Genomic DNA, 16,222 nt, shown 5'->3' with positions numbered 1-16,222 from the left:
ACTGTGAGTAACAAACTATCTTTTCAATGGCAGTTGCCTTCTGAATCATGTTGAAACCTACATTTCACAATAGACATATTGTCAAGTTCCAGGACACCAGATATTTATGTTTAAGTGTAGGTCCCAGGACCATTTCCATTATCTAGAAGGAATATTTCCTAGGGATAATAAATAGCATAGCTTATTGAAACGGATTAGGGGCCAGTGTCGATCAGAGTTCAATCAGAGAAGCAGAGGCACTAGCATACACATCTCACTAGATACACCACCAGGGTACTTGTATGGCAAGCAGCCTTGTAAGAGAGCAATAGGGTTTCCATCAGCAGCAAAGGGCAGGCTTGTTTACTGTCTAAAATGATAAAGATTTCGTCTCCCTCCAGAGCAAAGTTCATACAAGCTTACTGCCCAATATAAAAGGCTTGGGCTTCCAAAGCTTGAGCTTCTTCTCTAGGAAAGTCACCCACTGCCTCTGGAGATAACACCTGGCTCTTGTCACATTAGCCTGCAGGAATTGGGACTGGGGAGATGAACACAAATGCTGACACTTGGTTACTGCTATTGCTATGAGTAATGAAGTCCTTTGTCTCTGCCTCTGTTGTGTCTTCTGCCAGCAACCTTGAAAGTGTGGCAGGCTAACTTGTTAGACTGCAAGTAGGGTGAAATCTCAAACCTTTCCCAGCTCTTGATATTTCCTAACCAACACCAGTCTCATGGGTCAGGAAGGAAAGGGGCTTGTTCCTCTCTCTGTCACTGGTCAGTGATAATGGCCTCCTTAAGGGATCACTCTACATCCACCTCTGGAGGGACAGACATCAGGAGTCCAAGCCAGGATGCTCATACAAAGGAAGAGTTGCTGATGAATGAGCCATGCAGGTCTCACTATCAGCAAAACCAGGCAAAACATGCAACTCCTTTTGGGAAAGCCCCTGTGTTCGTCTGCTGAGGCTGCCATAACAAAATGCTATAGACTGTATAACTTAACAGAAATGTATTTTCTCACAGCTCTGGAGCCTGGAAGTTCCACATTAAGGTGCCAGCAGATTTGGCTCCTGGTGAGGGCTCTCTTTCTGGCTTACAGACAGCCACCTTCTTGCGCCATCCTCACATGGCCTTTCCTTTGTGGGTAAGTGGAGAGAGAGCCCTCTCATATCTTTTACTCTTCTGGTAAGGACACCAGCCCCATCAGATTAGCGCCTCACTCTTTTTAAACCTTAAATCACTACTCTAAACGTTCTATCTCCAAACACAGTCACATTAGAGGTTAGTGTTTCAACATATGAATTTGGGAGGGGACCCAATTCAGTCCATGGAAGCCCCTATCTGGGGAACTCACTCCCAATATTTCAATGTAAGTTATTTCTATTTTCCATAAGTGTTGGCCAGCTGAGAAATAAAGAGAAAGAGTACAAAGAGGAATTTTACAGCTGGGCCGCCAGGGGAGACATCACGTATCGGTAGGACCGTGATGCCCACCTGAGCCTCAAACCAGCAAGTTTTTTATTAAGGGTTTCAAAAGGGGAGGGAGGGGGTGTCATAACAGAGAGTAGGTACAAAGATCACATGCTTCAAAGGGCAAAAAGCAGAACAAAGATCACATGCTTCTGAGGGAACAGGACAAAACGGCAAAAGCAGGACTACTGATAAAGGTTTATGTTCAGCGGTGCACGTATTGTCTTGATAAACATCTTAAACAACAGAAAACAGGGTTCAAGAGCAGAGAACCGGTCTGACCACAAATTTACCAGGATGGAATTTTTCCCCACCCTAGTAAGCCTTTGGGTACTGCAGGAGACCAGGGCATATCTCAGTCCTTATCTCAACCACATAAGACAGACATTCCCAGAGTGGCCTTTTACAGACCTCTCCCCAGGAATGCATTCCTTCCCCAGGGTATTAATATTAATATTCCTTGCTAGGAAAAGAATTTAGCGATATCTCTCCTACTTGCACATCCATTTATAGGCTGTCTGCAAGAAGAAAAATATGGCTCTTTTTGCCCAGCCCTGCAGGCAGTCAGACCTTATAGTTGTCTTCCCTTGTTCCCTAAAAATCGTGGTTATTCTGTCCTTTTGCAAGGTGCACTGATTTCATATTGTTCAAACACACATGTTTTACAATCAATTTGTACAGTTAACACAATTATCACAGTGGTCCTGAGGTGACGTACATCCTCAGTTTATGAAGGTAACAGGATTAAGACACAAGTAAAGACAGGCATAAGAAATTATAAAAGTATTATTTGGGAACTGATAAATGTCCATGAAATTGTCACAATTTATATTCCTCTGCCACGGCTCCAGCCAGTCCCTCCGTTCGGGGTCCCTGACTTCCTGCAATAAGGCCCCAAATAGCTGTGAGTGAATTCAATCCCATTCACACTCAACTTAAAAATGTGATCATATATCTTCAACCATCTGCTTGAGGGAGGAGGAGCAAAAGGCAAGTTCTGAAGAAGACAAAATGGAGAGAAGGACTTAACAAAGTGCAAGTAGCCCTTTGGCTTCCCAGGCAGGTTTCTCACAATTTTCTCCATGGTCTTTTGCTGCTCAAGTCAACATCTCATGCCATGGTGTTTTCCTGTGGAAAGCTGTTGCCCACTTTGTACCTTAGAGGAAGTGTGTGAAGAGCAGGTCATCCAAGCTCCATTCACATCATCATGTGGAGAAGGTACATAGAGGAAGTGGCCAAGATGGGGGAAGAGCTCTGAGGCAGAGCTGGTGGGAGTCAGAGCTCCAGCAGAAGCTGCTTGGAGTGGAATATGGGGGTCCTTGTTACCAAGCCAGGGAGTCACGAACATTTGTGTGGGATGCTGAGCAGGAAAGCAGCATGCTCAGACGTGTGTTCGAGGAAGATTGTGGTAGAAGTACCATGCAGCTGGACCAGAGGGTGAGGAAAAAGGCACAGAGAGAAGTTAGGAGTCTAACACAATAGCTCATGTTATGGGCTGCATGGTGTCTCCCCAAATTCCTATGTTGAAGCCTTGACCCCCAGTAACTCAGAATGGGCCTGTATTTGGAAATAGGGGTTTTAAAGGGTAATTTAGTTTAAATGAGGTTATTGGGATGGGCCCTCATCTAATATGACTGGTGTCCTTATAAAAACAGACTACGGGCCGGGTGTCGTGGCTCACACCTGTCATCCCAGCACTTTGGGAGGCTGAGGTGGGCTGATCATAAGGTCAGGAGATCGAGACCATCCTGGCTAACACAGTGAAACCCCATCTCTGCTAAAAATACAAAAAAAAAATTAGCTGGGCATGGTGGCAGGCACCTGTAGTCCCAGCTACTGGGGAGGCTGAGGCAGGAGAATGGCATGAACCCAGGAGGCAGGGCTTGCAGTGAGCTGAGATCGTGCCACTGCACTCCAGCCTGGGCAACAGAGCGAGACTCTGTCTCAAAAAAAAAAGAGATTACGATACAGCCATGCACAGAGGGATGACTGTGTGGGGACAAAAAAGAAGACAGCCATCTGCAAGCCAAGGAGAGAGGTCTCGGGAGAACCCAACTCTGCTGATATCTTGAACTTGGACTTCCAGCCTCCACAACTGTGAGAAAGAAATTTCTCTTGTTGATAAGCCACCCAGACTGTGCTGTTTCATTATAGCAGCCCAAATGGACTAAGACATCATCTCTCTGCCAAAAGAGAAAGGGGAGTGAGTGGATTCCAGGACTGAGGAGAGTCAACCTGGAGAGGTGTCTAAGGGATGCCAGGCAGCCAAAAAAAGTACACTGGGGCCTTGTCAGTAAGACTGGTGGACTAGACAGCAGTGGAGCCTGAGAGGCAACAGGTTAGTGCTCCAAAACTTGTGAGAGGGAGGCAGGTGAGAAAAGGGGGACTCGGGATGCAGCATTAACACCAGCAAATGCAAGGCTCATGAGACTGGAGAGAACCTCAGACACCATACCGAAATCTTTGGTTAGCTGGCTCCAGTCTTGCTTGGAGATGGGGTCAGCAAGGTCCTTCAGAATGCCAGTGAACACAGGTCTCTAAGTAGCTCCCATCGCGGGCTCCAAGTCCTGTAGAAGAGAAGTCAGCAAGGTCAATGCATGAAGCCCCTTGGTGCATATCTGAGATATTTTCTCTACTACGGTAGCAAAGATGTAGTGCATCTGTACTTTCCAATATATATCTACGACTTTTGGTACATTCGACAGACATCTGTTCCGTGCTCTTAAGCACCTGCCAGCCATGGAGTTTCAGATGCATTTCTTAGATAAGCGAGCTTCTTTCCCATTGCAAATCACAGAGTGACAAAAGCACAGATCCTTGCTAGGGCTGCAGGCTGCTGGCAGTGTCACCCAAAGGCTGCTTTCTAAGGAAAACATTCTGCTGGGGTTTTTTTTTTGGACAACACGGTTTCATGTGCTCATTTATTTCACACCCATGTTTTAAAAATTATTCTTTTCGGCTGGAAATATATCTTCACCCATGATAATAGATGGAAATTGTGAGCTGCTTACAGTTCCCAAGTGACATTAGCATATGTACTGAGTTTCTTCTTGAATCCCACCCCTCCTCGCCTTTTTGCTTTTCCATCTTTTTCTGGTTCTTAGGAGGAAATTTTTAAAAGAACACACTGCCTGGATAATATATCTCATACTCACCTTCCTTCCTCCAACCTTCTTACTGGAGAAGGTGGAGAAGCTTCAGATTCCAGTCCTTCAACTTTATTTTCGGCCTGTAGGAGCATCCTATTCACACCTGTGCCCTCCTCCCCCTTTTCCTGACTTTGCCTAGCCAGCCCATACCTTCTCCTGCCTGGACAATTACAATGTCCTTACCTTCTCCAAGAGGCCCTGCAATCTTCAGTGTTTCCTTATAATCCATCATCCACACTGCAAACAGAGGTATCTCTCTAAAATTGTAAACTGGGTTGTGTTAAATTCTACTTCATGCTTCGGTGATCCTGTTACCTACAGAATACATCCAACCTCCTTACCACCATACTCATCTCTCACCCTCCTGCCATTTTACTCCAATACTGCATGTGATTTCAAGTCATTCTGCTGAGGCACATGGTTCTTTTCTCTTCCCCAAATACCCTTTTCTTCCTTGTCCAGCTGGCCCACCCCCAGTCACTCTTTGGGTCATGGCTCAAGCGTTGCTTACTCTTGGAAACATCTCAGCCCTCCTAAGCTGAACTGATCACTTCATCAGAGGCTCCTAGACAAACCCTGGCATGTGCCCCTGCGTGTCTCCAATGTCTGCCGCCTTGATGTCACCTGCTTGACCAAGTACCTGGCTACAAGGGCTGACATTCCTCTTCTTTGCAACTCCAGCATGAGCCCAGTGTTGGGCTCAAAGTAGACTCTTTTAAAATATATTGAGGCCAGGTGCAGTGGCTCATATGTGTAATGTCAGCACTTTGGAAGGCTGAGGTGGGAGGATAGCTTGGGTCAAGGAGTTCAAGACCAGCCTGGGCAACATAGTGAAACCTTGTCTCTACAAAAAATAAAAAAAATCAGCCAAGCATGATGGCACATGCCTGTAGTCCCAGCTACTCAGGAGGCTGAGATGAGATTATCGCATGAGCCCAGAGTAGTTCATGATTGCAGTGAACTGTGACCATACCACTGTATTCCAGCCTGTACTCCTGGGTGCCAGAGTGAGACTCTGTCCCCCAAAAAATAAATAAATAAAAATAAAATAAACTATTTGAATGAAAAAGATACATTGAAATGGTTTAGGTGGCTGATGGCAGTCGTAGGTCCTACTCTCTGTGTTTATTGGAAGGGTCACTCCAATTAAACAAATACTGATGGACCACTCATTCTGTGCCAGGTTCTCTCTGAGTACTGAAGGTACCCAGATGAACAAAACATCATTCCTTCACTGAGTGAGCACACACCTGAGCAGTGAAGACCAGCAAGGAATATCAATAGCACAAAATGATAGCTGCTATACTTATAGGAGCAGAATACCATGCCAAAGGCTCCCGAGCATAGCTGCACATCCAAATCTAGGAGTTTTAAAAAAATGTATGTCTTGATCTTATTGTTTATGTATTACTGCTTCACAAATTACTCCAAAACTTAGCAGCTTGAATCACAAACCTTTATTATATCACGACGTTGCTGTGGGTCTAGAGTGTGGCAGCAGTTTTCCTAGGTGGTGTTAGTATTGACACTGGGATTTCTCATGAGATTGCAGTCAAGATGTCAGTAGGGGCTTCTGTTATCTGAAGTCTTGACTGGGGCTGGAGCCTCTCACATAGCTGGCGAGGTGGTGCTGGCTGTTGGCAGGAGACCTCAGTTCCTCACCACGCGGACCTTTCTATAAAGCTTCTTGTGTGTCCTCATGATATGGTGGCTTTCCTCAGAGAGAGAGAGAGAGCAAGATAGAAGCCAAAATGCCATATATGGCCTAGATCCAGAAGTCACATTGCATTGTTTCCACAATATCCTACTGGTTACACAGGGCAGCTCTATTTGGTGAGTGAGATGGCTACACAAGATTGTGGATACTAGGAAGTAAAGATCAGAGGGAGCCATTGGAGGCCGGCTACAGCCTGACTCTTACCCCAGGGAATGAATTCAGTGTGCCTGGGTAGGGCCCAAGGTTCTGCTTATTTTGCCTTTTCTTTTCATTATCGTGGCTTTTTAACTTTTTATTGAAATATAATATACATACAGAAAAGTATACAAGTCACAAGTGTTATCACAAGGTGCATAATTTTTTACAAAAGACACACACCCATGGAATCTATACCCAGATCAAGAAACAGAGCATTGTTCAGGTGCAGTGGCTCATGCCTGTAATGTCAGCACTTTGGGAGGCTAAGGTAAGAGGATCACTTGAGCCCAGGAGTTCAAGACCAGCCTGGGCAACAAAGTGAGACTGTCTCCACAACTTGTTTTTAAATTAGACAAGTGTGGTGATGTATGTCTGTAGTCCCAGCTACTCAGCAGGCTGAGGTGGGAGGATTGCTTGTGCCCACGAGGTTGAGGCTGCAGTGAGCTGTGATCACACCATGCACTCCAGTATGGATGACAGAGTGAGTCCCTGTCTTAAAAAAAGAAAAAGAAAAAGAACATTGCCAGCTGCCACCTCTTCAGGGGCCCTCATTACACTCTCTTCCAATCACTAAACTCTCAAGAGTATGTCTTCATGACTTCTAACAACCTAGAATCATTTGTCTATTTCAAAACTTTATAAACATGGAATCATATAATAGGTACTTATTTGTATCTGGCTTCTTTTCACTTGACATTATGCTCATAAGAGTTTTCTGTATTGTTATGTGTGGCTGTTTTTATTAATTCTCATTCCTACATAGCAGCCCCTAGAGTTAAATACCTATTCTGCTGTGTACAAGTGTTTGGCTGCTATGCCCAATGCAGCCACGAATAGTCGTTTAAGTGTCTTCTGGTGAATATGTGTACCTTTTTATGTGGTGTATACACCTAGGAATAGAAATGCCGGGTCATTACAGCAGGCATATGTTCAGCTTTATGGAGACTGTAGAACAGGTTTTCAAAGTGGTCCTACCAATATACACTCCTATCAACAGTCGATGAGAGTTCCAGATCTCCAATACTTAGTATTTTCTGTCTTTTTGATTTTAGTCATTCTGGCTGGCATAAGGTGATATCTCATTTTGGTTTTAATTTGCATTTTCCTGATGACAAATGAAGTTAGCACATTTGCCTAGGTTTATTGGCCATTTGGACGTCCTCTTGAAGTGACTGTTCGTGTATTTTGCCCATTTTTCTATGGAGCAGCATGTCTTTTTCTTATAGATGTGTAGGAGTTCTTTATATATTCTGTATAAGAGTTTTTGTTAGATATACATATTAAAAATATCTCCTCCCATTCTATGGGTCACCTCTGACTCTCTTAATGGTATGGCTACCACCTTGTGCACCTGGGAGGCAGAGCTTGCAGTGAGCCGAGATTGCACCACTGCACTCCAGCCTGGGCGACAGAGCAAGACTCCATCTCAAAAAAAAAAAAAACAAAAAAAATCTTTGCCTACTTCTAGGTCATGAAAATGTTTTCCCTATTTTTTTTCTAAAATCTGTGTTGTTTTACTTTTAATATTTAGATGTGCAATCCATCTGCAATAGTTGTTTTGTTTGGTGTGAGGTAAGGATCGTGATTTTTTTTTTGCTTCATATGGAGATCTAATTGACATGAACCCATCTATTGAAAAGATGACCCTTCCCCACTGCACCTCCACATCACCAGTACTGTATTCAGGTGACTACATACATGTGTGTCTGCTTCTGGGCTCTCCATTCTGTTCCATTGGTCTACTTGTCTGTCGTTGCACCAGTACCATACTGTCTTAACTGTTACAGATGTACATAGGTTTTTATACTGGTGTTATAAGTCCTCCAGTTTTCTTGGAAACCTTTCCCTCCAAATCAGGAATGGTAAGGTTATTCACTGTCATCCCTTCCACTCACCATTGTCCAGACAGTCCCAGGACATGCAGCAAGACAAAAGGAGAAGTGCTGCAAGAATTGGAAAGGAAGGAAGAAAACTGTCCATATTTGCAGACAACATGATTGGATAATAAGTAAATTTACTGAGGCTATCAGATACAAGGCTAATATACAGAAAGCACATGTATTTCTATATATTAGCAAGACATGGAAAAACAGAAATTTCTAAGTAATACCATTTACAATGGCATCAAAAGCTACCAACTGGCTGTGCAAGGCCTCTCGTACACTGAGTACTACAAAAATTTATTGATAAATTGTATGGAGGGATATACTATGTTCTTGGACAGAAAGATGTAATATTTAATGTTGTCATAATCAAAATCCCAGCAAGGTGGGGTGTGTGTGTGTGTATATATATATATATATATACGTGTGTGTGTGTCTATGTGTGTATTTGAGTCCATCAGAGATAGGAACTCTCCAAGCAGTGGTTAGAATGGAAGCACATCCTTCCGCCTAAAAATAAAGAAAAGAAAAAAGAAAAGGAAGAGCTAGCTCTGGGAGGGCATTCCATAAAAGGGAAAGTGTTGGCATAACATCATGGATGTTAGCATGTGCAGAGCACATCCTAGGAACTTAAATAGCTTGGTTGGAGCTTAGGCTGAGTGAGGGTGGTATAATGAGAGATGGGGTGGGGAATGCCAACCAACAGCCAGAATGTTAAATATTTTAAATGCCAGGGATAATTCAAATTAGAGTATGAGCTTTATCGCTGGTTCCTTGGATTGCCCACACAATCCTTTTAAGCAAGGTAATAACATGCTTTGCACGTGTTAATTCGTAATCTCCACGATTATCCTGACAGGAGGTGTTATTATTATCATCCCCATTTCATAGATAGAGAATCTAAGGCAAAGAGAGGTTAAGAACTTGCGCAACCCAAGGACACAGCTCATCAGAGGGGAGACTTGGAGTTTGATCTCAGGCAGTCTGGCTCTAGCATCTCGAAATATTTTAGTCCCCACACTTTGCTGCCTCTGACTATTAAAACTTTATCAGACGGTGAACTTTGGCAACAGTATGAGGGTTGGTTTGAGGCTGTGATGAGAGAAAATATAGGCAGAGAGACTTCTTAGGAAGCAATCAGTGGCAAGTTTCTGAAATCGAGCAATGCCATTGGGAATGGAGAAGCAGGGATAGAGCTGACCAATGTCACTGAGCTGAGATGACAGATTTGCTAATTGGGGGTCACGGGACAGGAGAAGGGGAAAAGGGAACTCAATGAATAAACCCTGAATAAAGGTGGAAGTTGGCCGGGTGTCACCACATCTATAATCTCAGTACTTTGGGAGGCTGAGGCAGGCAGATCGCTTGAGGCCAGGAGTTCAAGATCAGAATGGTCAACATGGCAAAACCCCATCTCTACTAAAAATACATAAATCAGCCAGGGATGGTGATGTGCGCCTGTAATCCCAGCTACTCGGGAGGCTGAGGCAGGGGAATTGCTTGAACGCAGGAGGCGCATGTTACAGTGAGCTGAGATTGCATCACTGCACTCCAGCCTGGGTGACAGACCAAGATACAGGCGTACTTACACTTAGCGTTGTAGGTATGGAGGCCCTTGCTGTGGGTGTGGGAAAACAGGGTTTTCTATGACAACAGTGCAATAGCTCAAGTGTATATAGTTCTGTTCCCAAAAAGTCCCTAAGTCGTTTCCAAACCATAGCTTCAGCCTCACTTTCTTTAATGCTCAGGGCTCCATTCCTTCTTCTTTTCTTTGTCTCCGATTCATGTCCCATATAGAACAGTTCAGTAATTTATTTTTTGGTCTTAGCAAGGCTAATCCTTGCCCTCTGGACATCACTGTCCACACCAAGAGGCTTATCCAAGAAAGTTCACCTCCAAGAGGAACTATAGCACCAGGTGTTAGGATAATACATTTGCTGCTCCATCATAGCACGAAGGTCTTTCATTACTTCCTACATTTAACTTCAAAGGGTCCACCTTCCACCCTGAAGCCTCCCTCTGGTGTCTTCAACTGTGGGGTGTTATAGTCATGTGTCGACTCTGTGTTTTCATTTGTAAACTGAAACTTTAATCCAGCTCTCTTAAATGTTAGAACGAGTTGAAAAATCGCTTAGGGAGCTTGTAGAAATGCAGGGTCCTGGACTTCCCTCCTAAAAATAGTCCTTTTTACTATGCCTGGAGTAGGATCAAGATAGCTCTCTTTTTGACGATTTTTAAACCCCAGCCTCTGTTCCAGATGGTTTTGAGGAAGGTGGTTCTCACACCACACTGAGAGGCATTGCTGTAGTGGGTGGTGGGGATGCTTCCACCTCCCGTGCAGTAAGCCCTTTCCAACCCCCTGAGTGAGGGCCTGGATAAGCACTTGACATAGTGGCTCATTCTGCCAGCAACTCAGTGAAAGAGACGCTATTATTAGCCCATTTCACAGGGAGGAGAGAGTGGCTCAGAACGATCAACCTGGTCCAGGTTTCACCGCTAGTTCATTGATTCACTCACTCATTTATGCTCCATCATATGCTAGACCCTATCCTGGGGGCCAGTAGGTGTCAGAGGAAAGGTATGAACTTAGAACTCCAAACCTACATTCTTTACCACCATGGCATAATGTCTTCCTGAAGCATTGTGATGTGGAGGCCTTGTGTGACCGGGCAAAGGATGTAGGAAATAGGGAGGCCCCATCTGGCTGACCTGTGCTGGCTCCCAGGGAGGTACTGGGGGGCCTGTGGACCTGCAGAGGGCATCCACGGCCAAGCATACACTCTGCAGGTGGAAGGTGTGGGGCCACTGGGACCAAGGAAGGCACCGCGACATCAGGAGAGGAAGAAACAGAACCCACCCGAGCTGGGGGTGCTGAGATTGAAGGAGAGAGTGGAGGTAATGTTAGAGCCATCTACTTTCCCCCAAATTCCTCTTTCTTTCCGGCTCTTCCTTCCCGAGTCCTCTCTGCCTCCTTCTATTCATCTTCCTTGTTCCTTCTTCAGCCTCCCCTTCTCACTCTTCCTTCTCTCTTGATCATCTCTTCTCTCCCTCTCTGGCTACCTGTCCTGGGAGGTCTGAATCGCTGTGGTAACAGCTGTATCTCCCAGCCCCTGCAGCTCTCCTGCAACTCCCCTCCCCACTGCTGGGGACATTTTAGGACTCTCTGAGGTCACCCCTGAGTCCCTGGACCAATCATGACAGAAGACAATGCCAACCCTCACCTGAGCCCAACTTGTGTTTGAAGGACCAGGCAGGGAGCTAAGAAGTACAGAGGGAAACGAGGTCTGTGTCTCCAAGACCCCATGGACACAAAATGCAGAGGGTGGGGATGGGTCATGGTATAAAGTGGGAAAATGGTATGAGATAGGTACGAAGGATTCCACCCAAATGTCCTCATATCCCGCCAGGTTTTCTACGTCCTGACTGTCATTGCCTTGGTCCATTGTTCATCTGGACCGTTGTCCACCTGGATTCCTGCAGAGACCTCCTTTAGACCCTGGGTGTGCATCAGTATCCCTGGAGGGCTTGTCAAACATAGATTTGCTGGTGCCACCACCAGCATTTCAGATCCAGTAGGTCTGGGGTGGGGCCTGATCATTCACACTTCTAATAATTCCAGGTGTGGCTGCTGCCCCTGGCCCAAGCACCACAATTAGAGAATCTCTGTTCCAACTGATCTTAGACCCAGCTCTCACCATTCTAGCCACTACATTATAAGCGGTATGCATTATTATTATTTTTTACTTCTTTATTTTTTTTGAAACAGGGTCTTGTTCTGTCGCCCAGGCTGGAGTACAGTGGTGCGATCTCATCTCACTGCAGCCTCAAACTCCTGGGCTCAAACAATCCTCCCACCTCAGCCTCCGGAATAGGTAGGACCACGCCTGGCTAAGTTTTTAATTTTTTGTAGAGATGGGGGTCTCACTATGCTGCCCAGGATGGTATCAAACTCCTGGTCTCAAGCAATCTTCCTGCCTTGACCTCTCAAAGTGCTGGGATTACAGGCGTAAGCCACCACATCCAACCAGAGTTATTATTAGTTTTTAAATAGAAATCTGATCATATTTCTCTCCTGCTTAAAACCAGTTAGTGTTTTTACCTTTGTTTGCAGGTTCACCTCAGGCCTTTGAGTCTATCCTGCCAAAAATTCTGGCCCTGTTCCCTGGAACCCAGGCGAGCTGCTCACTGACGGGCTCTCCGCTCACTGACAGGCTCTCCACGGCTGTGCTGCTTTGTTCTTGCCGTTCCTTCTCCCTGGGATGCCCATCCCCTTCCTCTGCCTGCTAACTCCTAGCTGTCTTCAGGACCTCCTTGGCTCCTCACCCCTGGAAGCCTTTCTTGCTCTCCCCTTCTCTCCACACCCCCATGCATCCTGAGCACCCCTTGCCCACAGTTGCTCGTCTCTACCATACTGGTACATCCTCCTTGCCTTTCTGACCCCCTTCCTCCTCCACGCACACACTGGGCGTTCAGCAGTTGATACCTGTGCCCAGATCACCCGTTGTCTGTCTTATAGTCCCCTCCAGGCTCTCATGGTGCATGCATTCCTGTGTTCATTTGTTTATTCATGACCCAGATCACTTACACAGCTGTACACCCACTTCCTTCTGAAGCACCAGCCTCGAGGCACTTCTGTTGGAGTCTCACCAAGACACAGGCTCTGGATCTGAGCCTCTTCCTTGGGGCTCATTTCCCTTCCAGCCTTCTGTCTACTGATCTGCCTTGACCACAGTCCCCTTCTAGGGGATGCGACAGTAGATGCTCTGGAACGTTTGCCTCCACTTCCATGTTTTCAGCGTTGGTGGTGCCATCTATAAAAGCAAATTTCCCAGCAGAGTGAGCCCCCCTCATTGGTCCAGGTAAACCCTGCTGGGCTCCCAGCCCTGTGAGAGTGGGAATTTCAGCAAAAGCGGGGCAGAGCCGTCTATGTAAAAAAGGCAAATATCTGTTCCTTAGCGCTGTCAGCAGCACAATAGCAGCAGTCCCTATTTTAAACCCTTGGAGAATTTGATCTTAATTATATGGTGTGCAGAGGCACTAATAAGTTTACAAAACTGCCAGCAACACTAAACACATATGTCTCAGAAAACGCTACCCCTTTCTTTGCTTATTGTAGGACTCGGAATGTGGGTAATTGTGAACAATTAAGAGGGAGTGACCAAACGGTGATTCAAGGGAAGCCTCTAGATAGGTTGGTGGAAGCAGCAAGTCTGCAGGGGGAGGAAGGGCACTTGGAGGCTAGGGAGGTGGCCCGGAGCCTACAACGGCAGGAATTGCAGTTGAATGGGATCCAGAAAAGCTCATCAAGAAAGCCAAGACATGTCTGTAATCCCAGCACTTTGGGAGGACAAGGCGGGTGGATCACTTGAGGTCAGGAGTTTGAGACCAGCTTGGCCAACATGGCAAACCCCTGTCTCTACTAAAAATACAAAAATTAGGTGGGCATGGTGGTGGGCACCTGTAATCCCAGCTACTCAGGAGCCTGGGGCAGGAGAACTGCTCGAACCCGGGAAGTGGAGGTTGCAACGAGCTGAGATCGCGCCACTTCACTCCAGCCTGGGCGAAAGAGCAAAACTCCATTTCAAAAAAAAAGGCAAACCAAGATATTGTTCTTTCTTACTTCAGATGGGTACCAAGAGGCCCAGTGATAGGTTTGAGGGTTTCAGAAAAAAAAGGCTGTGTAGCAAATCCAAGCTTCTGCTACCAGCCCCTTGTACCATGGTGGAGTAGAATCAGCGTGGGCCTTGGAATCCACAGTTTGCATGACTCCCAGCTTGGCTCTGCTGCTCGGCAGCTAAATGCCATCGTGCTGGTTACCGTGGCTGTTTCTTGGCTTCTTCATCGTAGAAAGGGGGAAATCCCTGCCTCCTGGGAGTCATGGTAGCACTAACAAGCACGTGTGAAGCCTTAAGCAGATGTCTCGGCGCACAGTAGGTACGTGAATCACATTCATTCATTTCATTCTCTGCCTCCTTTCTTTGCAAGCAGATAAAATGCTTTTATCAAGGTCTTCTATGACTGGTACATTTCCAGGCCCATAGGAGGTACTTGATCAATATTTACTCAAGGAAGGAACGAATAATCAGTAAATACTGTTTGCTACTAAGTCAAGGAACTCAAGCACAGAGAGGTTAAGTAACTGGGCTAAAGCACACAGGAAGTAGATGATAAGCTGGCCTTTAGTCATAGCGGGGGTCCGGATTCAGCACAACTCAAATTCAATCTAGGGCAGAACCCAACTACAGCATGAGGCTGGGCTATATTCCCTGATCTTTATCCTGAAATTGCAATATTTTACAAGAACACTTATTTCACAGAGGAAAAAAGGAAACACCCCAAAAGCTGAGGGAGTGTGAACGCCTGATTACAGGCTTCTTTGGATAGAATACAAACTTTGCTTCTGTGATACGTGTGTTTAGGCAGATTAAACTCATGTTTGATTACAAACCCCAGGATAAAAGGAAAATAAATATGTTCATAAAGCCGAGGAATTCTCAAAGGGAGGAAGACAAAAAATCATCAGTTAATACTCTGATGGCTGCCTCTAGAAGAGTCTAGGATAGATCCCACCGAGGCATCCCTGTGCTCAGAGCCCCCCTGTGTTCCCCATTTCCCCCACACTATTCACTCTTCCAAGCATGGTGTTCGTGACCCTCTAGTTGTGTCTGAATCCAGGACACGTTCTGGCTTCATCTCTCCAACTTTCCCCTCCCACACCAAGCCTAAGCCAAGCATCAGACTGCCTCCTGGGCCCTGAAGACCTGAGCTTTGCTGCCCAAAGGCCTTTGCCCCTCTTCTCCTTAACCTGTTGGGAAATACTAATCAGTCTTTAAAGCCCAATTGAAATGTATAAATTCCCTCAAAGTCCTCTCCTAGCTCCTTGACAGGAAACAATTGTTTCCTCTGCAGTCCTAAAGCACTTGGTAGTTTTCCTGTTCCATTCATCGAAATCTGCCTTTTATTAAAATATTAAATTTATCTGGGCATGTGTCTGATTTACCCCTGAATGTGTAAACACACTCTTGTCCCCTACCTTCAGAATCCTGAACACTGAATAAGTGTTCAAAGAATGTGACTGGATGGGAACCTCTTTAAATGAACAAAATAGAGGCCCAGGTGATTCAGGTATGTCATGCAGTGAGGTTTTATGCAGTCATTCCAAAAGTCATGTGCATATTTAAAGATACAGGCATATAGCTGGTAGCCTTTAATTTCTACTGCTCTGGCATGGCCACAGCTACTCACTGAACATTCCATCTGCTTGTATTTTTCCTGTCCCCTTGCAGTGAGTTATGCAGGATCATGTGAATATTCTAGCCAATGGAACATCAGCACGAACCATTTGCTAAGGCAGTGAAAAGTCCTTGTGTGACTCTCTGGGTTTCTTTCTTTTGCTGCAGTGACTGAGACAGCCAGATAGTCCAGCTACAAAATGGCAATACCTCCATCACCTGGATACCTGAGTGACCACACGGAGCAGAGGCACATGTAGGCTAATGTGCCAATCAAGTGATATTACACTGTATACATACAGTGCCTAAAACAGCCCTTGGCTTATTGTAGGTACTTGACAAATGCTAGCTCCCATCTTCCCTTTCATTCTTCCATGTGGCAGACTTAAAACCGTCCATTTGTAAACCCAGTTATTTAACAGAAGGAGCCCAGGATAAATAAGTTGAGATGGAGGATTCAGAGGTCCACAGCATGAGGTGTTGCTGTAAGAGTGGGCCAGGTAAGCTGTGACGGTGGAAACTCTGGGAGGACCTGCGTGGATGAAGAAACGGGGAGCCTGAGGGTGCCCCTAACTTGGTAGTTTGACATTTGGC

This window comes from Homo sapiens, chromosome 8 (assembly GCF_000001405.40).
Source record: "Homo sapiens chromosome 8, GRCh38.p14 Primary Assembly".
NCBI classification, from domain to species: Eukaryota; Metazoa; Chordata; class Mammalia; order Primates; family Hominidae; genus Homo; species Homo sapiens.
This window is presented reverse-complemented; position numbering follows the sequence as displayed.